Source organism: Homo sapiens, chromosome 6 (assembly GCF_000001405.40).
Source record: "Homo sapiens chromosome 6, GRCh38.p14 Primary Assembly".
Lineage (NCBI taxonomy): Eukaryota > Metazoa > Chordata > Mammalia > Primates > Hominidae > Homo > Homo sapiens.
Window position 1 is genome coordinate 151012312 of NC_000006.12, and position 26371 is coordinate 151038682.

The window sequence follows — 26371 nt, forward strand, 5'->3', positions numbered from 1 at the left end:
GGTGTCCTTCCTTCATATTGAATAGCTCTGTATTTTTGAACCATGATTATTCATTTCTACTTCTGTTTTCTTTTTTCTTTTTTGCTACAAATACTGCGCTGGGATCGACTTCCTTTTGATCATTACACAAATAACCATGGCTGCCTCTTATGTTTATTCAGCTTGTTTTTTTTCCATAATTTGTACAGTGGAAAATCTTGTGGCCCTTGAATTTGCCCATTTTAAATTTGCCCTCAGTCATTTTAAACTCACATCCTGTCCCCCAGAGTGCTCGGCCATTCCCAGTGCAATCCAATAACTAATATTGTGCTATGCTTTGGGATCCACAGATTCTTTCACAATTAGATCTTTAAACTAACCATTGTATGAATCAGCATTCTTCACACATAGAACCAATAAGGATGTGTGTATATATAGAGAAAGATATTTATTGTAAGGAATTGGGTCACATGATTACAGAAGCTGGCAAGTCCAAAATCTGCACTGTGGGCTGGCAAGCTGAAGACCCAGGAGAGGCAGTGGTGCTAATGCAGTCTGAAGGCAGCAGTCTGCTGGAGAATTCTCCTGCTCTCAGGGGAGGCCAGTCTTTTTGTTGTACTCAAAAAGGCCTTTGACTGGTCAGTTGAGACCCACCCACATTATGTAGGACAACTTGCCTACTCAGAGGCTGCTGATTTCCATATCAATTTCATCATAGACACCCTCACAGAAACACGCAAAATAATGTTTGAACAAATACTGGACACCCTATGGCCCCAGCAAAGTTGACACATAAGATTAACCACAAGGCCAGGCACAGTGTTTCACCCTGTAATGCCAGCACTTTGAGAGGCCGAGGTGGGAGGACTGCTTGAGCCCAAGAGTTCGAGACCAGCCTGGGGAAGATAGCAAGACCTCGTCTCTACAAAATAATAAAAAATTATCTGGGTGTGGTGGTACACACCTGTATTCCTAGCTACTGGGGAGGCTGAGGCAGGAGGATCACTTGAGCCCAGGAGTTTGAGACCGCAGTGAGCTGTGATTGTGCCACTGCCCTCCAGCCTGGACAACAGAACTTTATGGCAATTACCGTAAAATGATTTCGAATGGTGATGTACTCTGTATAAATCAAGTATTAAACATATTATTAGTTTTATGTTCTAATTTGAACCAATGTTTGAGAAGTTTCATACTGTTCCATTGGCTCAAATTAGAATCATCCAGGGAGATTTTAAACATTACTGATCCCAGGTTCCCCTCCCAGAACTTCTGCTTTCATTGGTCTGGGTGGAGCCCAGGGATCAGTGTTTTCTAAAAGCTTCCCGCAGGAGTTTAGGTTTAGCCAGTGCTGCCAGCTACTGTTTTAAAAGCACAAAACATAGAGGTACATTTCTAAAAATTGAATGTGATTATGTTGTTCTTTCTTTCAGATCGGTTGTGTAAGCATTTTTATAGGATTATTCTTCATGTTTTCTCTCCTTATTTCAGGTAACGGCTGGTGTTCCTCTTAAGAAAGAATATACAGAGGAGGTAAGAGGAGCTGTTTAGATGCTTATGTGAAGAATCTCTTAAATCCAGTGACTCGTTGGCTTTCAGTGAATGAGCCCTCCTTCAGTGGCCTCTTAGAAAAGTGCTGTTCTGTCCGGGCGCAGTGACTCACACCTGTAATTTCAGCACTTTGGGAGGCCAAGGCGACCGGATCACATGAGGCCAGGAGTTCAAGACCAGCCAGGCAAAACCCATGGCCAACATGGCAAAACCTCATCTCTACTAAAAATACAAAAATTAGCTGGGCATGGTGGCTCACGCCTGTAGTCCCAGCATGAGAATCGCTTGAACCTGGGAGGCAGAGGTTGCAGTGAGCTGCGATCGCACCACTGTACTCCAGCCTGGACGACAGAGTGAGACTCTGTCTCAAAAAAAAGAAAAGAAAAGTGCCGTTCTAAGAATCCGAGAGGAAATGGATGGGATGAAAGGATAAAATTCATTCAGTTAACTCTTAAATATCAAGAAAAGATGGATATAGGCTTTGTCTACTATTGTGTACTCCCAGGGTAGCCATCAGAGCAGGAACTCAAGGTCTCCAGGTCAGAAACAAATATGAAGCTTACACTTCTGTATTCTTTTGTCATGGAAGGTCTATATACAGTTGGCTTTATGATTTACAGGAGTGGCTTACTCTTTTCTGTAAATAGACTTTGATTTGCTGGCAGCAGTACCTCTTAGCTCCTACAGGTGGCGCCAGGGATCTGAGCCAGGAATACCTGGTCAGAGCTCCTCACCCACCTGGGGCCTTGTGCCTGTCAGGCCTCAACCTGCAGAGCATGGGCGCATTGCATAGACCCTGCAGCCTGTCCTCAGCAGGGTGAGCTGCCAGGCTTCAGACCCACCCATATGCCATTGGATCCAGAATCATTTTAGAAATTATTTTGAAGACGAACCTCTTTATTCTTGCAGCCATCTTTCTTGGAGGAAAAAGTGAAAAAAGATGTAGCAAATCCTGCCAGAGAGGTGCTGGCAGTTTAGCTTGGCAGGTTTGGTGGGAGACAATACACAGGGGTCTGGGTTTTGCTTTTTTCTTTTTTACAGAACATCCAGCTGGTGGCAGACGGCTGCTGTAACCTCCAGAAGCAAATTCAGATCACTCAGCTCTTTGGGGTTCCCGTTGTGGTGGCTCTGAATGTCTTCAAGTAAGTCCAGCCTCCTCCTTTAAATGTGGGCATTATCACTAGGCCACCCTGTGAACGATATTTGTGTCTTGGGGTATTTGGTCTTTCTGTGCTTCATCTAAAAGTATACAGAAATACCCAGTTCTTTCTGTTTGTTTATTTGGTTTGGTTTCATTTTAGCAAATGTGTTCTCACAATGTTATTAAGGAAGTGAAATTTATATATAGTGAGTTACTATCTCCTTGGCTTTTTTTTTTTTTTTTTTTTTTAATTCTACCCAGCATTTTTGTCTGAAACAAACTGTGAATGATCAAAGGGATATGTTATGGAATTTTCTTGATAACACCCTTAACGACTTGAAATATTTGAGTCACTTTAGAGAGGACTTTTTTTTTCCATGCTTTAAGTCTGATTTATTTAAACACGATGTGACCACTTTTGATGTTTAAAATGTATTCAGTGTTAGGGAGCGAAGTTCTGTATAAATGGTGAGTCTTTCTTTGAAAACATAGCTAAATGGATACAGATGCAAAACCACAAACATTTTCTTCACTAGGACCGACACCCGCGCTGAGATTGACTTGGTGTGTGAGCTTGCAAAGCGGGCTGGTGCCTTTGATGCAGTCCCCTGCTATCACTGGTCCGTTGGTGGAAAAGGATCGGTGGACTTGGCTCGGGCTGTGAGAGAGGCTGCGAGTAAAAGAAGCCGATTCCAGTTCCTGTATGATGTTCAGGTAAGATCTAGTAAAAACAATGGCTCACATTTCTTACACCTTAGCATGGGTTGTCCCATTCTGTTGTCACCACAACCCTACAGATAAGAAAACTAAAGATAGAAGAGTTTAGGCCCGGTGCAGTGGCTCACGCCTGTAATCCCAACACTTTGGGAGGCTAGGGCGGGCAGATCACTTGAGGTCAGGAGTTCGAGACCAGCCTGGCCAACATAGAGAAACCCCATCTCTACTAAAAATACAAAAATTAGGTGGGCATGGTGGCGTGCACCTATAGTCCCAGCTACTCGGGAGGCTGAGGTGGGAGAATTGCTTGAACCCAGGAGGTGGAGGCTGCAGTGAGCCAAGATCGAGATCACACCACTGCACTCCAGCCTGGGCGACAGAGTGAGACCCTGTCTCAAACAAACAAACAAAAAGGTAGAAGAGTTTAAGCCATATGACAAAGTCACATTTCCAAGTACAGACCCTAGCTCCTTGTCCCAAAGCCTGTGCTTTTGAAGACTCCCAAATCGCAGTCCTAAGTGAGGAGGTACTTTAGCGAACAGGATTTGACAGCTGACGCTTTCAGGAGTTGCACAGGAACAAGAGCAATTTCGTGAGGATTGGGAAACCATGGGAGGTATTTTCCTTGTTCATTTCTCTTTTTTTTTTTTGAGACAGTCTCTGTTGCTCAGGCTGGAGTACAGTGGTGCAATCTCGGCTTACTGCAACCTCTGCCTCCCAGGTTCAAGCACTTCTCTGCCTCAGCCTCCTGACTAGCTGGGATTACAGGCACCTGCCAACACGTCTGGCTAAGTTTTTGTATTTTTAGTAGAGACGGGGTTTCACCATCTTGGGCAGGCTGGTCTCAAACTCCTGATCTCATGGTTCACCCACCTCGGCCTCCCAAAGTGCTGGGATTATAGGCATGAGCCACCACACCTGGCCTCTGCTTGTTCATTTCTGTTATGGTTCTTTTCTCTTGTGGTTTTATTGAACTATGTCTAGTGTATGTGTGTGTATATATACATACATAATATATTTATTTATTTTCATTGTGGTAAATATATATATAACAAAATTTACTATCTTAGCCTTTTTTTTTTTTTTTTTTTTTTGAGACAGAGCCTTGCTCTGTTGCCCAGGCTGGAGTGCAATGGCGTGATCTCGGCTCACTGCAACCTCCACCTCCCGGGTTCAAGCAATTCTTCTGCCTCAGCCTCCCAAGTAGCTGGGACTACAGGCGCAAGCAAGCGTGCCTGGCTAATTTCTTTTTTATTTTAGTAGAGTCGGGGTTTCACCGTGTTGCCCGGGCTGGTCTCGAACTCCTGAGCTCCGGCAGTCCACCCGCCTCGGCCTCCCAGAGTGCTAGGGTTGCAGGCGTGAGCCACCACACCTGGCCCATCTTAACCATTTTTAAGTGCACGTCAGTAGTGTTAAGTACATTCACATTGTCATGCAGCCAATCTCCAGAACGCTTTTCATCTTGCAAAACTGAAACTGTACCCACTGAACAACTCCCCATGCCCCTCCCTACAGTCCCTGCCAGCTACCATTCTCCTTCATTTCCATGAATGTAACAACTCCAGGGACCTCATGTAAGTAGCATCATACTGTGGCTGGCTTATTTCACTTAGCATAATGTGCGTGCATGTTGTAGAGTGTCAGAATTTCCCTTCTTTTTTTTTTTTGAGATGGAGTTTCGCTTTTGTTGCCCGGGCTGGAGTGCAGAGGCACCATCTCAGCTCACCGCAACCTTCTGCTCTCGGGTTCAAGCAATTCTCCTGCCTCAGGCTCCCGAGTAGCTGGGATTACAGGCGTGCACCACCACGCCCAGCTAATTTTTGTATTTTTAGCAGAGACAGGGTTTCACCATGTTCGTCAGGCTGGTCTCAAACTCCTGACCTTGTGATCCACCCACCTCGGCTTCCCAAAGTGCTGGGATTACAGGTGTGAGCCACCGCGCCCGGCCAGAATTTCCTTTATTTTTCGGGCTGAATACGCTCCCATTCTTTGGATATCCCACATTTTGTTTCTTTGTCCATCTGTGGATGGACACTTGAGCTCCCCCTCACAGCTATTGTAAGTAATGCTGTATGAGCATGCGTGTTTATGGCATATGGCATATGTACAAGTATCCCTTCAAGACCGTGTTTTCTTTTTTTTTTTTTTTTTTTTTTGAGACGGAGTCTTGCTCTGTCGCCCAGGCTGGAGTGCAGTGGCGCAATCTCGGCTCACTGCAAGCTCCGCCTCCCGGGTTCATGCCATGTTTTCAATTCTTTTGGAAATGTATTCCCAGAAGTGGGATTGCTGGGTCCTCTAGGATATTTTTAAGCACATGTCGATGGTTCAGTCAGAAGACCTGAGCTTCCCAGGGCTCACTCTCCTCCTCAGATCGTCTGTCTTTGCACCCGTCTGACATCTCCATTCTGAATTTTGTGGTTCCGATTCTGGCTGATGGATTTGTCTTCAGGGGTAGTGCATGATTGTGGAGTGCCCAGGCTTCAAGCTGATTGCTGCTTCTCCTGTTCCTTCATCCCTCACATATTCTATTGTTGAGTCACTCAGATGTCACAGACACTCTTCTTTCCTGTTCAGTGGCATAAATCAATAGCATAAGTGAAGAAGAAATCCGTGAAGCAAGAGCTTAGCAGCGTTGTTGATAAGCCTGGAGTCACAGTGGTGAGAGAACGGGGCTGATGTATTAATATTTAATATTACCACAGCTCTCGCTTTTAAGGAGTTGTTTGTGAGCTGGGTATATGGGCGCTTTGCACATGTTCACCTCTTTGGTCCTAACATCCCTCTTAGGTGGAAACTGGTGATATCTTCCCATTTTACAGACAAGAAAACTAAAGCACGAAGAGACTAAGTCAACTGCTCAGTGTCCCATAGCTAGGAAGAGGCAGAGCTGGGAGAAAGAATATCCAGATGGTTGAGGTCATCACCCTGCTCTGTTCTTCAGAGCTAAGTACTGTGCTCAAAAGTGTGTGTGTATTGGAGGTCTGGGGGGAGACATAGTTAAAGGGGACAGTGACTGAGTGACCCCCCTGAAGAGAAAGGGTGACAGTGATGGGCATAGGCACAGATTCCATGCCACACAGGGGACATCATCGCTGGCACGCAGTCAGTGTTTACGGAAGGAAGGACACAGGGAATTAATTGGAGGCTAGCTCATAAAAGGTTTTTCATTTTTATGAGGCCATTTTGTGAATGAGGAACTAGAATATTCTGGACTACAGAGGCGGTAGAGATCAATTGAGGGAGAAGATTTTGGATGAGTGAAAAGAAAAATGTTCCAGTTGGAAGCTTTGAGTTCTCAGACCTAGAGGTGTTCAGCGCAAAATAGATGTAGCCCTGCTGTGGGCAAGTCAGAGGCATTGAAGCCAACTCAGATGGCAGGTGGCCAAGGAGACCCTGGGTTCCTGTTCTTTGGTCCTGGGTAAGGCTTGCCAGGGTACCTACAACCCTTGGCACATGCCAGAGCCTTTCTACATAAACCACTGTAGGGAGAGTCACCCCCAGATCCTGCTGTGAGTGTGCCTCTGATCATGCCATCTGATCATGCCATCTTGCCGTCTGATCATGAACCACCCCACTCTGCATAGCAAAGGCAGTTATTTTCATGAATGATTTCACAAAGTGCGGCTCTTTTCAAGGAAAACATCCCAGGTGAAAAAGAGGTCAGTAATCAGAAGAAATGCTTCTGAGTTATGCTGTCTCAGACATGCACTAACCCTAACATGAACCCTTTTCCTTTCCACTGATATTTCAATTTTTTTTTCTGAATTCCCATTCTTCATGCAGATAATGCTGCTAAAATGTCAGCTCTCTTCTGAAAGGAGGAAAATGTTTAATAATAATGTGGTCTAAAGTCCTCTATTGATAGGCGACCTCAAGGCCAGGATCCCTGCCTCCTTTGCCAACACACTTCTCGCTTTTCTTGTAACAGAAATTCGATTTGAGCTGCATAATTGTTTGTTAGATAATCAGCCTCCCAGCCTACTGCAGCATGACAGTTCATGAAAAGAGCTGCTGCTGCTGCTGGCTCTCTTTGTACTGTCTGCCTGTTAGCTGTGTTCCTCACACCAGCAAGATTTAGATCATCTAAGACCATTTACAGTCTTGTCTTGTCACCATGTAAAAATCTGAATTCATTGGTGCAGTCAGTAATAGAGCTCAAGCCTTCTTTGCCCCGGATTTCTTGCATTGATTGGTGCTGGTAAAACTTTAGTAACTTAAGTAATGGTTTTCTGGAAGCCCTTTTTACCTCCCCTACAACCCCACACCCTCACAACCAACCCTTGGGTGCTGGGCAGTGAGAAAGATATGGCATTGCTCTATAGGAGAAAGAAGTTATAAATGCTTTGCATATGACACTCTCCCACCTTTGCTTCTCAAAGCAAACTGGGTTTCTGTGTGCCCCTTGGTGTCTCCCCAGACTTTATATCCCCAAGAATGTATTCAGTACAAGACTAATGGCATCTTGTGTGCTATTCTTTCTCCACCCCAGTCTTGTGGAAGGAAAACACCGGAGATGATTTAGGGTAATGGGAAATAGTGCTAGAGCCCAGGGCATGACTGCATTTGAATGTGAAGTAGAAATTGTCTCGGAACCCCACTGGAGAGTGATTCAGCTGGAGAGAGTGGGGCACCTGGCTCTCAGAGGCACTGTGCGGCCAGACAGCAGTGTGCTGGACTTCCTAATGGCGAGCTCACAGGTTAAGTGAGAAACAGGCTGCACTTCTGACTTGGGAGTCTCTGCTGAACTTTATAGAAAACTGACTTCAGCAGCAACTGCTGTCTAGAGAACAATTTGGCATCTCTTTTTGCCAGAGTAACTTCTAACTCAAGAGTAGGCAACTTTTAATTATGGTACCGGATGGAGGCAGCAATGAATAATTTAGAATAAAGATTGAAAAATATGGAATAAGGTGTAGTAGACTAATTGCTCAGAAGAAGTTTTATTGTGTGAAAATGAATGTGTTTAAACTTGAAATACAGAGGATCATTTCCTCTCTACCCTTGAGGGTGATTGCAGTCCCTTTTAAGAAGCTGTTAAAAGTCCCCCTCAAGATCATCTTCTCTTTGAATTTTCCTTTCTAATGTGACTTTTGACAATTATATCTTTATCGTTCACTAAGAGAATATCTCCATGTCTGCAGGGATGCAGGGAAATATGATGGCTGAAAGAAACGCTAATCTACATGCGCACTTTATTAGCTAAGAAATCCCTCCTCCATACGTTCTTCCAGGCATGCCTCCGCACATCCCATCTGCTATGTGGGCTCAACTCTGCATTATAGATGGGAAGGTGATGGACTTGTCCATAAGAAATGGACGCTTGATAGGAGAAGGAACATATTACATAGAGCTAACAGGCTAAAGCTTTGGGATCATGCAAATTAAGTTTAAACCTTGAGTAGGCCTCCTACTGTGGACACAATTTGGGGAAGCTGACTAATCTCTCGAGCCTCAGCATCCTCATTTGTACAATGGTGTCTGACAGTGACACCAACTTCACCAAGTTGCTGTGAGACCCAAATGAAATGCCCCAGAGTAAAATGCTGGAACATAGAAAGCAGGCAATGAAGGCCAGGAGTGGTGGCTCTCGCCTGTAATCCCAGCACCTTGGGAGGCTGAGGCAGGTGGATCACCTGAGGCCAGGAGTTCGAGACCAGCCTGGGAAACATGGTGAAACCCCATCTCTACTAAAAATACAAAAACTAGACAGGTGTGGTGTCACGCACCTGTAGTCCCAGCTACTCGGGAGGCTGAGGCAGGAGAATCGCTTGAACCTGGGAGGTAGAGGTTGCAGTGAGCTGAGATCACACCACTGCACTCCAGCCTGGGCAACAGAGTTAGACTCTGTCTCAAAAAGAAAAAAATGGAGGAAAGTAGTCAATCAATGCTGGTTCTTCCTCCTGTCATGTTCACTTGGAAAGAGAGTGGGCCTCCTGAATTCACCTTCAAGAATTCTCCTGTAACTCAAGGTAACTTTGTCAAACTCCAAGATTGGTTTATTTTGCTCTGGGTTAAAACCAGGAATTAGAAGTCAAGTCTCCTAAAGCACTACTGAACTAAACCAAGACACTGACGTTTTTCCTTCTCCGTGAGAATTGGGAGCCCTTAGTGATATCATAAAACATCAGTCATTTTTGCAAAGAAGGAGGTATGACCCGGAGAAGTCAGCTTGACATTCAGTCGGAATATTGTTTGTTAAATGAGGAGTTAAGGTTGAAAATCATCTCTGTATCCTTCCTCTAGCCTTGCAAACATTTTAAGGTGTAGCCTTGACAGCAAGACAGGATAGTGTTTGTTTTTATTAAAAGGTCTTTCCTGTTCCTTGCGTGAAGCCATTCTCTTGATCCCAGTGGGGGCTGGATGAAGGAAGAGCAAAACAAACCACGAAGACAGCCTGGAGCCGCAGCCAGCTCTGCTGACTTCTGAACTTCACGCTCTCACTGCCCAGATGGCCAGGGGTGTTTCCTCCTCTGCTGGTCTTTTTTAAGGCAGGATGTTTGTTGTTATTGTTGTTGTTTTTCTGGTTGGTTCTTAAGAAATTATTTTCTACATCTTGAAAATGCCAGCTGGAACCTACACCAGTTGTTGGTGGGGTGTGAGAACTATCCTTTACATGGACTTGGAGCATTTGCAACTAGAGCCTCCACATTGAAATAAACATTTAAAAATGCATATCTATGGATATACAGTGGGGGATCTTCCATTGTGGTAAAAATATGTATAACATACAATTTCCCCTTTAATCGCTTTTACATGTATAGTCTGTGGCATTAAGTACATTCACATTGTACATACAGGGTTTAATTAATAGGATCTTAAAACTTAAAAGGGTATTGATGCACATCTCTGTTGCCTTTTACATTTCACAGTAATTAGAAGGGAAAAAACACACTCTAGGTTGAAAGGCTGTCCTTTCTTTTGGTTGTCCTTGTCCCTGGAAAAGCTGTCTTCCCCCTCAGGGCCTTTGACCTCCCCCGGCTCTCCCTCCCATCTTCAGACACGCCCAGGGCCAGCCTGAGTCAGTAGCCCTTTCTTCAGCGCTCCCTCTTCTCCTGTTGTGCATTAGAATGTTTGGAGTGTTCTGTGGAAAGCTGGTCCTTACATTTTCCAGTCAGTTATGCATCTCACTCATAAACCTGTTTCTTCCCCCATGCTCTTTAATATTCTGCTTTCTTAATTATGGTTGAGCTGCCTTTAAACAGTCTTAGATTGTTCAATGTGAGTGGCTTCAACAAGCCTCCCATAAGCCTCTTATCCCCTGGCCCCCTTTCCATGATCCAACCCCAAATCTCCAGATACCCCCTGCTTTTTTTATGTTTTTTTGTTTGTTGGTTGGTTGGTTGGTTTTTGGGTTTTTTTTTTTTTTTTGAGGCAGAGTCTCGCTCTGTCACCCAGGCTGGAGTGCATTGGCACGATCTCGGCTCACTGCAACCTCCACCTCCCGGTTTCAAGCAATTCTTCTGCCTCAGCCTCCTGAGTAGCTGGGATTACAGGTGTGGGCCACTATGCCCAGCAAATTTTTGTATTTTTAGTAAAGGCAGAGTTTCACCATGTTGGCTGGGCTGGTCTCGAACTCCTGACCTCAAGTGATCTGTCCTCCTCAGCCTCCCAAAGTGCCGGGATTACAGGCATGAGCCACTGCACCAAGCCCCGGATACCTCCTGCTTGACCAGACCTTCTGCAAACACACCTTAGATCCCTCTCAAATCTAGATGCTTCTCCAACACTGGCTTCTAGGTTCTTTATGAAACCTCTGCTGGCCGGCAGTATATAACCCACCACCCAGCCTGCCAGGCACGTCATTCAGCTGTGTTAGACAGTTTCGAGGGATCTGCACCTGTCATGAGCACTGGCCCAACCTTCTCAAAGCATCCCACTCATCCCTGTGATTCTGGCAAAGCTTGCCCCAGCTTTCTTTCCTCGATGGTTGAAATAGCACCCAATGAGAAAAAAACAGTGGCCTGTATTTATTATACTTACACATGTCACAAGAATCCCTGTAGTGTCATTGAAAGCTTTCTTCTAGCATGCAAAATGATTGTCACTATGATGTAAGTTTCTAGAAATGCCTTATTTCATCTAAAATTATGAGAGAAGGTAAAATGATGAACTATCAAAGTCACACTACATGTTGGCCGGCTGCCTTCTACCACTCACTCCATCCCTCCCCAGGCTTTCTGACTTAAATTTAGATCACATGAGACCATTGCAGTGGAGAGAGTGTCCACTTTCTCAATCTAAAAGCAAGCTCGTGAAGACCATTAAATATGATCACAGGAACAAACATTAAAGGTACCACACGTAATGGACCACTTAAGACAGAAAACTACGATCTTAGGGTTTAGGGGAAAAAAACACTCAAACAGCACAGGCTTCCAGTCTCCCCAGTCTCTGAGAGGTTGGGATTTTTTTTTTTAATAAAGTACAAGGGCTCCTTGAACATGAACACGGAACGAGCGTTGCACCTGTATTCATTCATTTCGCTCTTGTAACACATTGATGTTCCTAAGTCAGATTTGTAGAAGAGGAACGAGCAGATGCATCATGAGAACACTGTGCTTGGCCAGGCGCGGCGGCTCATGCCTGTAATCCTAGCACTTAGGGAGGCCAAGGTAGGAGGATCGCTAGAATCGAGGAGTTCAAGACTAACCTGGGTGACATGGCAGATCCTGTCTCTACTAAAAATATTTTAAAAATTAGCCAGGCATAGTGGCACATGCACTGTAGTCTCAGCTACTCAGGAGGCTGAGGTGGGAGGATTGCTTGAGCTTGGGAGGCAGAGGTTGCAGTGAGCCAAGATCACCCCACTGCATTCCAGCCTAAGCAACAGAGCCAAGCTCAAAAAAAAAAGGCCAGGCACGATGGCTCCCTCCTATAATCTCAACCCTTTGGGAGACTGAGGCGGGCAGATCACTTGAAGTCAGGAGTTGGAGACCAGCCTGGCCAACATGGCAAAACCCCATCTGTACTAAAAATACAAAAATGAGCCGGGCATCGTGGTGCGTGCCTGTAATTCCAGCTACTCTGGAGGCTAAGGCCCAAGAATCACTTGAACCTGGGAAGTGGAGGTTGCGGTGAGCCAAGAACATGCCACTACACACCATCATGCCCGGCCTGTTTTTTTTGTGTGTGTTTGTTTTGGGTTTTTTTTGAGCCTGGGCAACAGAACAAGACTCTGTCTCAAAGAAAACAAAACAGAACACTGTACATGAGTGTTCCTGGGCCCAGCAGAGTGCTCGAACCAGTCAGCACTTTGCCCTCTTTTGGGTGAGATGAGATCTTTAAAATCACTTATTCCCATATATTCCGTTTTTTGGCATTGCTACACTATTCTATTTGAGAGTAATAAAAGATTACCCATGTGGATTTCTTACTATTTCATGTGGAGAAATGCAGCTTTTCTAGCGGCGAGCCTTTCTTCCATTTCCCAGAGTCCGGTTACCCTCACCGCACCCCAGGTTTGCCGTAGAAGGATGAGATTCCCTACATGTAGGCGTCTTCAGAGTGAACCTGTTGCTCAGGGCCCGCGAGCCCACAGGGCTCCATGCCCACTGAGCAGGCTCGTGGACGTCGGCACGTAGCTCAGATGTGCTGATTTCCAGCCAAGGACATGCTTTGTGTCAACGATACAGGGGCCTGTTGTTCTCAGTAACAAGGGCAGAGCCGCTCCCGGGACTCCAGTTGGTATTGGTAATGCAAGCCCTTGCACCTAGTGTGGTGTGGTCAGTATAAATTAATATCGACAGCTTCATGTTGTACTTTAATTTGAAGTACAGGAAAGGCTGCTTGCCAAACTGTATTTGTAGATCATTTAAAATTTATGCTTCATTTAAAATGCAAAATACGAATGGAAATAATTACTGTGTATCCGGAAATGTCTATTCAACTTACAAGTTTATTAATTGATCCTTCTCTTTACATGTTTTACGGGACTTGGAATACACTTTGCTAATATCACAGCATAGGAAGATTTAACCCATATGAATTCAACTCTGTAGCCTTGGTGAAAGAAAAGAACCATGTATTTGTCATTCACTGTGGCCCCCGATGTATGCCAACGACTTCATTTGGTGCAGGGCTGAAGAAATGGCAGTGTGTTCCAATACTTCACAACAGTGGGGCCTCATTAAGAGATGCTAGGGTATTGAGAGTGGAGTGTTACATAGTGTTTTTCATAGGTCTTCTAAAAGATTTTTCAGAGTTGCTGACTTAAGAATTTGGCCTCTGAGTAAGATGAGACGCCCCTACTACGTTATAAAGCCTTCATGGATCTTTATTTCTAACAGTTCATTTTTAAACTTTTGTTCCATTTCATTTTATTTTGTCCATTTTTTGTCATCAAAAAATTATTTTAAAATGTAACAGCTCTTCTAGAATGTACAGATCAATTTTATTCCACTAAAAAACAGGACTTCAATAATTTAATTGAAGAATTCTAGTGAGCATTTCCAGAGCCTTTCCAAGAAAGCTATACTGTTTAACTTTGAGTGACTCAGCTTCTAGGACCCTGGTCCACCACACCTACAAAATGAATTTAATAAAGCATGAAGGTCACCAAATCCTCTACTATTTCTTCGTGGAGTCATTCAGCTAGTGTTTATGTTGTGCCTGCTCTGTGCGAGAGACTGTGCCACCAATATAACCACTGGTCACAGTTATTTTCTAGAGCCATACTGCCTGATATCCCATGTGGCTAAGATTGACAGTTCAGTTTCTGGATTGTTCCAGTCCCATTTCCAGTGCTTTTAATAGCCACATGAGGCCAGTGAACACACGATACATCTTCCATTGTGATAGAAAGTGGCAGTGGACAGCTTTGTTCTAGAGTATTTCCGTTTCTGAAATACATGTTTAAGAAGTTTGGAAAGGAATTAGTGTAGAGTATGAGAAGGGTTACATTTTTGGTGAATATGAAGATTTAACATAATGTTAGTTCAAAAATGACCAAAGACACAAGTGTAGACACCAGGCTTTTGAAGTAGCTAATATGTTAAGCAGCTGTGCATTATATAGACAGAATATTCACTATGTCCCACTCAGCCCTGTGTTTGACACCATTTCACCTTGGCTTCTGCCTTTCTTTCCCTTCTTTGCCTATTGAGATTTTTCCTGTCCTTTCTATCCTTTTTTTTTTTTTTTTTTTTTTTTTTTGAGGCAGAGTCTTGCTGTGTCACCAGGCTGGAGTCCAGTGGCACGATCTCAGCTCACTGCAGTCTCCACCTCCCGGGTTCAAGTGATTCTCCTGCCTCACCCTCCCAAGTAGCTTTGACTACAGGAATGCGCCACCACTCCCAGCTAATTTTTGTATTATTTAAATAGAGATGGGGTTTCACCATGTTGGCCAGGATGGTCTCGATCTCTTAACCTCATGATCCGCCCACCTTGGCCTCCCAAAGTGCTGGGATTACAGGTGTGAGCCACCGCACCAGGCCTCCTGTCCTTTCTTTAATGCACTATTCCAGCTTTTTTTTTAATATCTTGCCAGCTTTTGCTGATTTTCATGCCTCCCTCTGCAACCTGTGATCTCTTGACTTTAATAGTAATGTTTATACAGAGTCTTGACTGCACACTCTCTTCTGTCATCGTTGTTTGTTGTGTCTCATTGTCCCCAATCCATCAGAAGTTCTTGGTACACAAAGTCCCTGAAGCTGTATGAACAATGCCCTGACGTCTTGAAAGGACTTGCCATAGGTGGTTATTTGATCACTTAGCAGATGCCTTTGGGATCCTACTTTGTGCAGGCCACTCTCCAAGGCACAATGTGGCAAGTAAATATATTAGTCAATATTTACAGAACCAAGAGAAAGCCAGCAATGATTAATGCATAAACAGTCATAAATTGGCCATTTTATTTGTTTATAAAAGCTATCATTTACTACAGAGAAGTACAAGTGAATATCAAGCTCAGATCAAGACCTTTGGACTGAGCTTGGCTTTTTTTTTTTTTTTCTTTAAAGATTACACTTCTCCCCCAAATCAAGCAGATTAACCATAGGAAGTTCCTTGCCTGCTAACAGAATATAAATAGATTGCATGCAAGGGGAAGGACCTTATCAGGGCAGATTTTAGTATTTACACTAAACCCAAAAGATTATTTCCTTAATTGTACTTGTGAGTGAAAAACAAAAATTGTAGCAGGAGTCCCAAGAGCACTCTGGCCATGGGCTTTTGAGCTGTGAGTTGAAGCACTTTATTCAGCATGTGGCTGCAGGGTTGTAGCTCAGGTTGTAGACAGTGCATTCTCTTCAGGTCCCAGGAAACAGTGTCATACCTGTGGAAGCCACCAGAATGCACCTTCATCTTCTCCAGTGGTGGCGAGGTTGAGGCCAAGCATCAGAAGTGCTGAGTGCTGGGAAACTGTGGGGCTGGATAGATGGCAGTGCCTGCTGGGAAGCACACAGCCCTGGGTTGAGGCAGGGAAGCAGGGCCGCCCAGTTGGGATTCATTCGTACTACTGGCCCCTCACAGTACCGTCATGTGTGGGTGGTCGCGCTTGTCCTACAGGAAGTAAACCACAACTACTCATCTCACACAGTCAGCCCGGCACCTCCTTGGAATTCCCAAAACACTTTCCAATAAACATTGGAAAGGAAGAAAGTTTAGTTGGTAACAAAAAAATGTATGTTGCCTTACGCCCAAAAGCATTGAAAGCAGGGACTCAAGCAGGTACTCATGCAGCCCTGTTGATAGCAGCATTGTTCCCAGTAGCTGAAAGGTGGGAACCCCCTTGTCTGTCAGCGGGGATCAGCTAAATATGGCACACACATACTATGGAACATTATTCAGCCTTGGGAAGGACACCTCCTATCACACGGATGAACCTTGAGAACATTATGCTAAATGAAATACACCAGACACGGAAGGACAGATACTGCTTGATTCCACTTGTAGGGGCCTGTAGAGCCGTCACATTCATAGACAGGAAGTAGAATGGTGGTTGTCAGGGGCCAAGGGGAGGGGCATGGAAAGTTGCTGCTTAATGGGTACAGTTTCAGTTTTGCTAAATACAGAGAGTTCTGGAGGTTGGTTGCCCGACACCATAAATGGACTTAACGCTACTGAACTGTACACTTAGAAATGGTTAAAATGGTAAATTAGGCCAGGCATGGTAGCTTGCGGCTGTAATCCCAGCACTTTGGAAGTCTGAGGCAGGCAGATCACTTGAGCCCAGGAGTTCAAGACCAGCCTGGACAACATAGCAAGACCCCCATCTCTACAACAATTTTAGAAATTAGCTGGTGGCTTACACCTGTAGTCATAGCTACACAGTATGCTGAGGTAAGAGGATCACTTGAGCCCAGGAAGTTGAGGCTGCAGTGAGCCGTGATCACATCACCGAACTCCAGAATGAGACCCTGGGTCACAAAAAAAGAAAAGAAGATGGTAAATTATATGTTATGTGTACGTTACCAAAATTAAAGTTCTTAAAAATATATATTTTAGGCCAGACACAGTGGCTCACACCTGAAATCCCAGCACTTTGGGAGGCCGAGGCAGGCAGATCACCTGAGGTCAGGAGTTCAAGACCAGCCTGGCCAACATAGTGAAACCCCATCTCTACTAAAAATACAAAAATTAGCCAGGCGTGGTGGCGGGAGCCTGTAATCCCAGCTGTTCGGGAGGCTGAGGCAGAAAGAATTGCTTGACCCAGAAGGCAGAGGTTACCGTGAGCCAAGATCGCGCCACTACACTACCAGCCTGGGTAACAGAGTGAGACTCTGTCTCAAATAAATAAATAAATAATATATATATACATATTATATAGATAGATAGATAGATTTCTTACAAAACATTTTCGTGTTTAAAAATAACAAATCAGGCCAGGCACAGTGGCTCACGCCTGTAATCCCAGCACTTTGGGAGGCCGAGGCAAGCGGATCACCTGAGGTCAGGAGTTTGAGACCAGCCTGACCAACATGGTGAAACCCTGTCTCTACTAAAAATACAAAATTAGCCGGGCGTGGTGGCACATGCCTGTAATCCCAGCTACTTGGGAGGCTGAGGCAGGAGAATCACTTGAACCCAGGAGGCAGAGGTTGCAGTCAGCCAAGATCTCGCCATTCCACTCCACCCTGGGTGACAGAGTGAGTCTCTGTATAAAAAAAATTTTTTTAAATAACAACTCAGCCATCCACTCGCATCAATTTATTCACTAGTCATTCGATTGCTATTACTTTGCTCCCATGTGAGTTTTTTAAATTATTAACAGAAAAATCACACTCTTTATTTTTGAATTATGATCTTGAGTTCAGTAAAGAATGCATTCTGTTGATTAAATGTGTTATGAGTAACAGTATCTTGTTTTGCTGTACTTCCAAGCAAAATGTAATTCTTTCAGTCCTCCCTACCGTTCTCACTCCATAATAATATGACTTAAGGTTTGTATAGCATGACGTTTACAACGTGCTTGCGTTTTACACTGACTCAACGTGTGCAGTACAGTGATGTATAGTGAAGTATTCACATCCTCATCTTAGAAATGAGGAAATAAATTCAGGGAGGTTACATGATTTAACCACACATAAGGAGGGGCTGCATTCTCTCTGAGCCCTTCTACCTCACACAGCCACCAAGCTCCTTTGTGCAGAGCCCATGGAGGGTTGGAGTGGCCACACTGGGGTAGGTGCAGGCCAGAGACTGGATGCAACAGGAACATTGCCTGCTTCCCAAAACCACTGTTCTACTGCCCGGAGAACACACCCTTCTGGGAGCTGACTTCTAACAAAGCAAGGTCCTTGGACTTGCCCTGCGGCTTCTTTCCTGCAAGAAGTATCTTCCAGCATCCTACCAACTTTTATTTCTTAAAAAAGGTTGTTCCTTGCCAGGCATTGGTTGATCAGCAGAGGAGCTCGCATTAGTTTCAGTGCAGTGTTGGGAGCAAGCACTTGAGTGCCCAGCAACATAGGCTGCTCATGATCTAAGATTCATGGAAAAAGTCTTCTGCGCTGTTGCCTGCAGCACATCAACACCTGAATTTTCTTATCATCTTGTGTGGCTATTGAACCACAGGGAACCCAAGCTTAGTCAATAGGAAATATAGAAATATTCATTGGTTCAACTGTATAGGGAGGGCCTTGTATATATTCCAGGGGCTGTATCCTATCTTGCCTCTAGGTAAATAAGAGATGGTCCCGAGGCTCAAAGAGTTTATCAACCATTCTTTATTCTTCAGCTAATATGAACATTGAATCTTTTACATTAGAAGTTGCCCATGCAGGGCACGCCTGTAATCCCAGCAACCTGGGAGGCCAATGCAGGAAAATCACTTGAGGCCGGGAGTTTGAGACCAGCCTGGGCAACATGGTGAGACCTCATCTCTACCAAAAATAAATTTTAAAAAAAGTTACCCTTAAATTTCTTTCTCTAACCCAGCCTCAACTTTGTACTCAGGCAGTAACTCTTTGTACAACATTCCTGGCACCATATTCAGCTTATACAGAACCCTCCAGGCAAGGACAGGTCACTGCTAAGTGAGAGAGCTCTGGTTATTATAGTTCTTCCTTAAACACTGCACTCAAAACGACTTCCTTCTAACGTTTGTCCCTTGGTTCACATTCTGCCCTCCTTTCGATTTTTTGTATGGCATGGCCCTCCAAGAGATTTCAGTGTCAGTGTGGTGCTGCCAAGTCTGTGTGACTGTTCACACACTCGGGCTCCATTCACACACCCCAAGATTGCATGAGCTTTTGCTGCAGCCACTCACAGTCAGGCCCCAGTGAATCCCTGTCCTCTGAAGCTGCAGGTAGGAGCGCCCCAAGGGCATCTAGATGTCAAAGAAGAGGATGCTCACATGTGCCTAAGGTTCATCCATGAAGGCTTCGTGGAGGAGGTGGCTTTTGGGATAGATCTTAGAAAGCTCAGAGAGTTTTAACAAAGATTGGTCCTTGAAGATTACTAATCTTTTGACTTTATAAATACTTGCATATATCTTCTTCCAGTCTGTCTCTTATTTTTTGACCTTATTTATAATGTCTTCTTAAAACAAGTTTTAAATTTTGCTGTAGTGAAATCTATATATCATTTCCTTTATGGGTTATTCTATTGTTACCTCATTTAAGAAATCCTTCTCTACTTCAGAATAATAGAGTTCCCACTGTTTTCTTCCAATATGTAGAGTTATAATTTTCAAGTTTATGCCTTTGTTCCATATTGGGTTTATTTGGAGGCCTGGTATGTGGTAGGAATATAATTTTATTTCTCTCCAGCCAAAAGTCAGATGGTAGTCAGCCTTTCTCTGTTGATTTGTGTCACCTCTGTTATATACTATCCTGCACATGCTGAGTGTCTTTGTGGGTTCTTTCTTCTTTTCCGTTGATTAATTTGTCTATACTTGTGCCAGTACCCATGGAATTTATTAGCATAGTTTTGTGGTATGATTGATAGCTAGTAGAAAAGTCCTCTTTCTTTGTTCTTTTGGTTTTGTTTTATTTTTAAAGTTATCTGACTATTTATGCCATTACCCTGTGTTAGTTCACTCTCGAGTTGCTATAAAGGCATCCCTGAGACTGGTTAATGGATAAAGAAAAGTAGTTTATTTTGGCTCATGGTTCTGAAGGCTGTGCAAGCATGGCACCAACATCTGCTGGGCTTCTGGTGAGGGCCTCAGGAAGCTTCCACTCAGGGCAGAAGGTGAAGGCGGGGGGAGCCAGTGCATCACATGGCAAGAGCGGGAGCAAGAGATGGGGTGGGAGGTGCCAACAAGCAGACCTCCTGAGAACTCAGAGTGAGAACTCACTCATTATCGTGAGGACAGTACCAAGCCATTCATGAGGGATCCGCCCCCGTGATCCAAACACCTCCCACCTGGCCCCACCTCCAACATTGAGGATTACATTTCACCATGAGATTTGGAGGGGACCACCATCCAAACCACATCAACCCTTTATTGTAAGTTTCAGAACTAATTGGCCAAGTAACCAAAAATGAGCTTGGGATTTTTATTGGACTTGCATTGAACTGAGTAAGTTTCAGAGAAGTGACGTCTGTACAGTGTTAAGTCTCCTCATCCATGAGCAAACTATTTTCCTCCATTGACTCAGACTCTTTTTATGTCCCTCAGTGAAAGGTTATAAGGCTTGCACCTTCATTTCTTTTTATTTGTTAGAATATTCAATATTTATGTTCCAGACCACAGAACACCTCTACAGTAATAAAAACTGTAGTAATGAAAAACACGTTTTAAAGCAGTTTTGGGTTCTATCAGGGTTGGGAGGGGAAGAGTGCTAGCTTTTATTTATTTTCTCTTGGGTAACTCTTGTATCAATAGTATTTCATACAAATGTGACACTAGCTGTTGCCAAGCAAAGTCCTTGAGGCACATCACGGGAGACTTGTGCCCCTTGGTTGACATCTGTTCCATCAGCATTTGGTTCAGCAGTTGTTCACCAAACAGTAAATCCACTAATTGCATCATGCATATGCTTTCTTTTTTTTTTTTTTTGAGACAGAGTCTTGCTCTGTCACCCAGGCTTGAAGTGCAGTGGCGCGATCTTGGCTCACTGCAACCTCTGCCTCCCAGGGTCAAGCGATTCTCCTGCCTCAGCCTCCTGAGTAGCTGGGATTACAGAAGTGCGCTGCCACACCCAGCTGATTTTTGTACTTTTAGCAGAGACGGGGTTTCACCATGTTGGCCACGCTGATCTTGAACACCTGACCTCAAGTGATCCACCCACCTCAGCCTCCCAAAGTGCTGGGATTACAGGTGTGAGCCACTGCACCTGGCCACATATGCATCTTTACCCACAGGAGGATTGTAGATAATTTTGCCAAATGTGTTTCTTAAATTTAGAATTACTTTATCTGTGGAATATTATTTTCCTAATGAATCATTCTTGTTTCTGAAGATCCCTTGCCGTATGCTATCAATAGTCTGTGTCCTGGTTTTCAATCTAACATTATGGAAATCTTCTCCTCCAACACACTTATTTGCCTGTATCTAGTCTTCTCACATTTCTTCCATGCCACATGACTTCTCATAATTTGCTTAAGTGACAGTAGGTTCAACCTCTGATTTTCCAATATAGTGTTTGATCACATCAGCATTTATGTTAAAATCTCAATCCATTACTGCTCATGAAAAAATACTTGTTTTTAATACTATGAACCCGTATTCAGACCCACTTAAAAACCAGCACTCACAATTTCGTTGGGAGACTCCTGTCCTGACATATATGATTATTTGAAAATTATAGTAAACAGGCCAGGCGTGATGGCTCATGCCTGTAATCCCAGTACTTTGGGAGGCCGAGGTGGACAGTTTGCTTGAGCCCAGGAGTTCAAGACCAACCTGGGCAACGTGGTGAAACCCAGTCTCTACAAAAAATGCAGAAAAAAAATTAGCTTGGAGTCATGGTGCACCCCTGTAGTCGCAGCTACTCAGGAGGCTGAGATGGGAGGATCACTTGAGCCTGGGAGGTTGAGGCTGCAGTGGGCTGAGATTGTGCCACTGCACGACAGAGTGATACTGTCTTAAAAAAAAAAAAGAAATTATAGTAAACTATATTTTTTTAATGCTACAATGGATAAAAATGGTTACAACTAGATAAGAAGCCTCTAAATTGCCTGAACACCTAAGACTTATTTGCTAGTTGACATCTGATCTATTTCTGACACTGAAAATTTCAGTGCTTTAGGGTGCTAAAAGGAAAAAAGAGGGTTTGCTAGGAATCCTGCAGTTGCTGAGGGGGTACTCTGATAAGGGAATTTTAAGCAATTACAGAACATCTCACTAAAGTTTTTAAAAAATCTTTAACCAGATTAAACTTATACAATTTTGTTATAATTTGTGTTTCTCCAGGTTCCAATTGTGGACAAGATAAGGACCATTGCTCAGGCTGTCTATGGAGCCAAAGATATTGAACTCTCTCCTGAGGCACAAGCCAAAATAGATCGTTACACTCAACAGGTAAAAGTTCTACTTTTAGGGGAAAAGAAAAAATTCACCTTAGGCTCTCAGAATACTCAGCTTGACTTGAGGATTTGTACATATCGCACCAGCTAACCTTTGCTTAATCTATTGTATGGTTAACAAAGATGAAGGTAATATCCTCGGGTAGAGTGTAGACTATATTTAGAACTTTATGGTGAGGCATATATCCTCTGATCCATGCATCATTTACTTCTGTGACTATAAATGTGTCTGATATGGGTGGTATCCCTGTTTTTAGGTGATGTGTGATCTTTCATCCCTCCCACTCAGCCCTGAATGTTGAAGCTATCCTTTGGAGTAGAGCTGCGGAGTCAGATTTAGATGAATTGCAATGCTTCCTCTTCCTTACAGGCCTCTTACTTACTACCTTAAAAATGCTAGCGTGGTGCCAGGGTAGGCAGATAGGAGTGCAGCCTATAAAGATGGGAATGTTTGCTGTTCTTCTTATGCAAGCGGTTCACTGGCTTTTTACTGAGCTTGTCCGCTGAGATTGAAGGCTCCATCATCTTCTACCTCTAGCCACTGACAAAGGCAAGTAGGCAAACAGCTGGGAAGGTGGCTGTGATCTGACAGCATGCATCACCATCTAGTCCAGTGACAGTCATGATCAATCAACTCCACTACAGGAGGCTCAGCCACCTTCACCAAAAGGACCGTATGCCTCGAGTGTCCCTCCTACTTTGGTGTAGTCGGATAGATAGCAGTCAGAACACTTTAAGAGCCTGCTGGCTAAAGAACTTCATGATGGGTAGCGTTGACCTTTTCTTTAAAAAAAATCTCCAACTCCTTATTCTTTTTTGTAAACCCATTTGAAATTTTGTTAAATGCTGCCGTTGCCAGCCAGGGTATTTGTTCTCCTAGGTTTGGTAAAATAGTCAGCAACTCAGGAAGTTCTAAATTCTTAGAATTTTCCCTGTATGTTCTTGGCTTATCCTTTACAAAAAGGATTCCCAAGCACTGCTCTGTGCACAGGCATTGTGGTGAAATTTTCATTCATGTGCAATGAACCAAGTAAAATAAGGTCATTCTCATAAGGTTGGTTTGTTTTTTTTTCCGTGAGTTTTTAATAATGATATTTAAGACTATCATTTATTCTAATATTAAGTCTTTTCTCCTTTCAGTGTTAAAATGGTATTTCTTTTATGAAGTAATCTGGTGAGAGTATATGGCATATTGGTTGGTTTTTTTCTTTTTAATATGCCTACTGACAAAATTTTTACATTAGCAAACCTGTATTAGTTCATAGAAATTACTTCAATATTTAACCATGTCTGAAATTTAAAATTCTGGCACCATTTCTGAAAGACAGTTGTGATTGTCACTCAGCAAAATTCTTATCGGTATAGAAGAGTGGAGATTTCAAAAAGAAAATGGCCCCAAGTCCAAGTCCTCCCTGAGTTGATAAGACTCTAAGATCTTCCAAATAGTTTTAGGCTAAGTCTTATGAAAATTTAACTAAAGATTTCATTCCCTTTATCTCTATCAAGGAAATATTCCTTAAAAGTGATGTCAACCGGGCACGGTGCTCACACCTGTAATCCCAGCACTTTGTGGGGTCAAGGCAGAGGATCAGTTGAAGCCAGGAGTTTGAGACCACTCTGGGCAACATAGCAAAACCTCCATCTCTATTTTTATTTTTTTTTTAAAGTTAGTGTCAAGTATGTGGTTGCAATGAATTAGCAAAGCCTCTAAAGGAACACTGTGTGCCATTTAATCAGAACCAGGCTTTGAGGACACTGTGCTTTTTGTGAGACACCACATGTGACTTCCTGCTCTTTCACCTTTGGAACTCTGGGTCAGACATAGACTTTGGTCCTTAAAAACAAGAAGCTTAAATAGTGACCTCATCTTAGTTCTTATAATGTAATTGCAGATCAAATAGCCATGATTCATAAACCAACACAAAGGAACCCTTTGCTTCCTGACTGACTCCAGAATGAGTGAACAACATGAGTAAGAGCCTCGTCGCAGAGCCTTTCTCCAGACTACCTTGCTGGGTCCCGGATATTAATAGTCTTGGAAAGTGGTTTCTACAGCTGCTGCTTTGCCTGAAAATAGCCATGCTTTCCCCAAACATGCACATAACACTGCCTTCTCTTAAAGAGAGCCTCCAAAATAAACAATAGTCACCCTTGACCTGCTAAACAGTCATCACATGGAGATGAGTTTTTATCCTCACCTTCTTGCTTCTTCAGTGAACAAGTAGTAACAAGCAGCTCCTGCGTGTGCCTCGATCTGAGCCGGCATACCATTGCTGCCGAGACTGTATAAAGTGCAAATTGAAAAGCACAGGAGACTAACATCTGTATCAGTGAACACATTTTCTTTCCTTTCTCACAGGGTTTTGGAAATTTGCCCATCTGCATGGCAAAGACCCACCTTTCTCTATCTCACCAACCTGACAAAAAAGGTGTGCCAAGGGACTTCATCTTACCTATCAGTGACGTCCGGGCCAGCATAGGCGCTGGGTTCATTTACCCTTTGGTCGGAACGGTGAGTGAGTCACATTTTCCAAAAACCCTCCCCATTCTGCATTGCTGTGGTGCCTCAAATCGTTATGCTCCGCCCGCTCTTTAAAAATCATGGATTAGGGAAAATTGGGAGTAATTAATAGTACAGTATTCGCTATTTTTCTAAACACTGTGTCTCACCTACTTTTGCCATTGTGGTTTGGATTTTTCTTTTTTTAGATCATGTGTTCAGGGTCCTTAGAGTCATAATACTAATTTCCTTCCTAAGGTGAGTAAGAACATAACTTGGGAGAATTCAGTCTGTTATTTAAATGGTAGAATGGCTTAAGACAGTGGTTGTCAACCTTTATCACACATAGCACCCAAAATGATGTCATCACGGTGGGGTTGACTGCTCACACCAGACAGGATCTGCCCAGTCACCCCAAGGGCTGGGGAAAGCAGTCCTCACCCTCTCTCACTTCCCCAGCACGTCAGGTGGGAAGCTCTGGCTTAGGAAATTACTGAATCATAGGAGTTCTCATTTTTGATGTTGTTGTGATGGGATCATGTTGCTATTGGATGATTATTCTGTTATTTTGTGTTATCTATGGGGGTAAAGGAGATGGGCAGATAAATAAAAGCTTATCAAAGTGCTTAAAATCCATGAAGATGGGCTTCATTTGGTACAGCTACACAGTGATAGCCTTCCGTTGGTACCGTCAGTGGCCTAAATTTGACTTCTTGTCTTTGGGAGTGCTCCTAAATTTGGTTTAGAACAAAAAAGAATTCTTACAACCTAGCAGATCCCATGGCAAGCAAAGAAAAAAATATTCTAACCCATCATTATCGTCATCATTAGTGCAAAGTGATCTGAGCTTAAACAGCATACATTATCATAATTTTTTATAATAAACCATGTTGCTTTATTGTGCAAACAAGCAATAGATAGATAAAAAGTGCAGATTCTTGCCTTGATATTTACATACTTCATCTAATATTGGACACAATGTTTTTTCAATCAGCATTTTTTGAATTCTTCCTGCATGTGAGGCACAGAGATTTTAGGATGAGCAGGTGTGAGACGCATGGGTTTGAATAGCACAGAGGTATCTGGAGAGCACTGTGTTGGTATTCTGAATGCCCTCAGAGCCCAGGGGGATAACAGCTCATTATGCCTGGGGTAGAACTTACCCAGGATGTGGAAGAAGAGGGGATTCTTCAAAAAGAGCTCAGCCTCTGAACTGGCAAAACAGTGAGTTTTGACTCAAAGGCACCAAAGTACTAATACATGACATCCTCTCCTGGGGTGATCCGATGTGGCTGGAGTTGGATGAGGGGGGGTGGCTGGGGATGGGAATGGGAATGGGATTGGGATAGCAGGACAGGGTCACATGGCCAAGGATCTTGAAGACCATCTCATGGAACTTGAATCTGATCTCTACACACTGGGGAGCCACGGTAGGGTGGGTTTTTTGTTTGTTTGTTTCTTGGTTTTTTGTTTTTTTGGTTTTAAATAAGGAGGAGAAGAATGTGGTCTGATGTGTATTTTAGAAAAATAGCTCTGGCAGCAATATGGAGAATGTTTAGTGAAAAGAGAACCAGGCC

The 26371-nt window shown here is 43.6% G+C and overlaps 1 protein-coding gene across 25 annotated transcripts in view, besides 1 other annotated feature; it reads left to right on the top strand.

The window, feature by feature from the left end:
* Window positions 1–26371, top strand: part of MTHFD1L (methylenetetrahydrofolate dehydrogenase (NADP+ dependent) 1 like) — a 236186-nt gene that overhangs the window by 146610 nt on the left and 63205 nt on the right. For all 25 annotated transcript variants that reach the window (NR_146719.2, NR_146720.2, NM_001242767.2 and 22 more), the window contains 5 exons: window positions 1468–1509; window positions 2569–2669; window positions 3205–3382; window positions 22182–22289; window positions 24654–24806. Coding sequence is in view for 23 of the 25 variants with exons in the window: in NM_001242767.2 (NP_001229696.1) it covers window positions 1468–1509; window positions 2569–2669; window positions 3205–3382; window positions 22182–22289; window positions 24654–24806 (582 nt within the window). In the remaining 2 variants the exon portion in view is untranslated. The remainder of the gene's footprint in view (window positions 1–1467; window positions 1510–2568; window positions 2670–3204; window positions 3383–22181; window positions 22290–24653; window positions 24807–26371) is intronic.
* Window positions 23744–24943: an enhancer, noted in NCBI's record as "P300/CBP strongly-dependent group 1 enhancer chr6:151357191-151358390 (GRCh37/hg19 assembly coordinates)". NCBI's record gives its function as "activates an origin of replication core promoter dependent on BRD2, BRD4, P300/CBP, MED14 and CDK7 cofactors, with strong dependence on P300/CBP, by STARR-seq in HCT116 cells {active_cell/tissue: HCT116}" and the evidence as "EXISTENCE:reporter gene assay evidence [ECO:0000049][PMID:35650434]".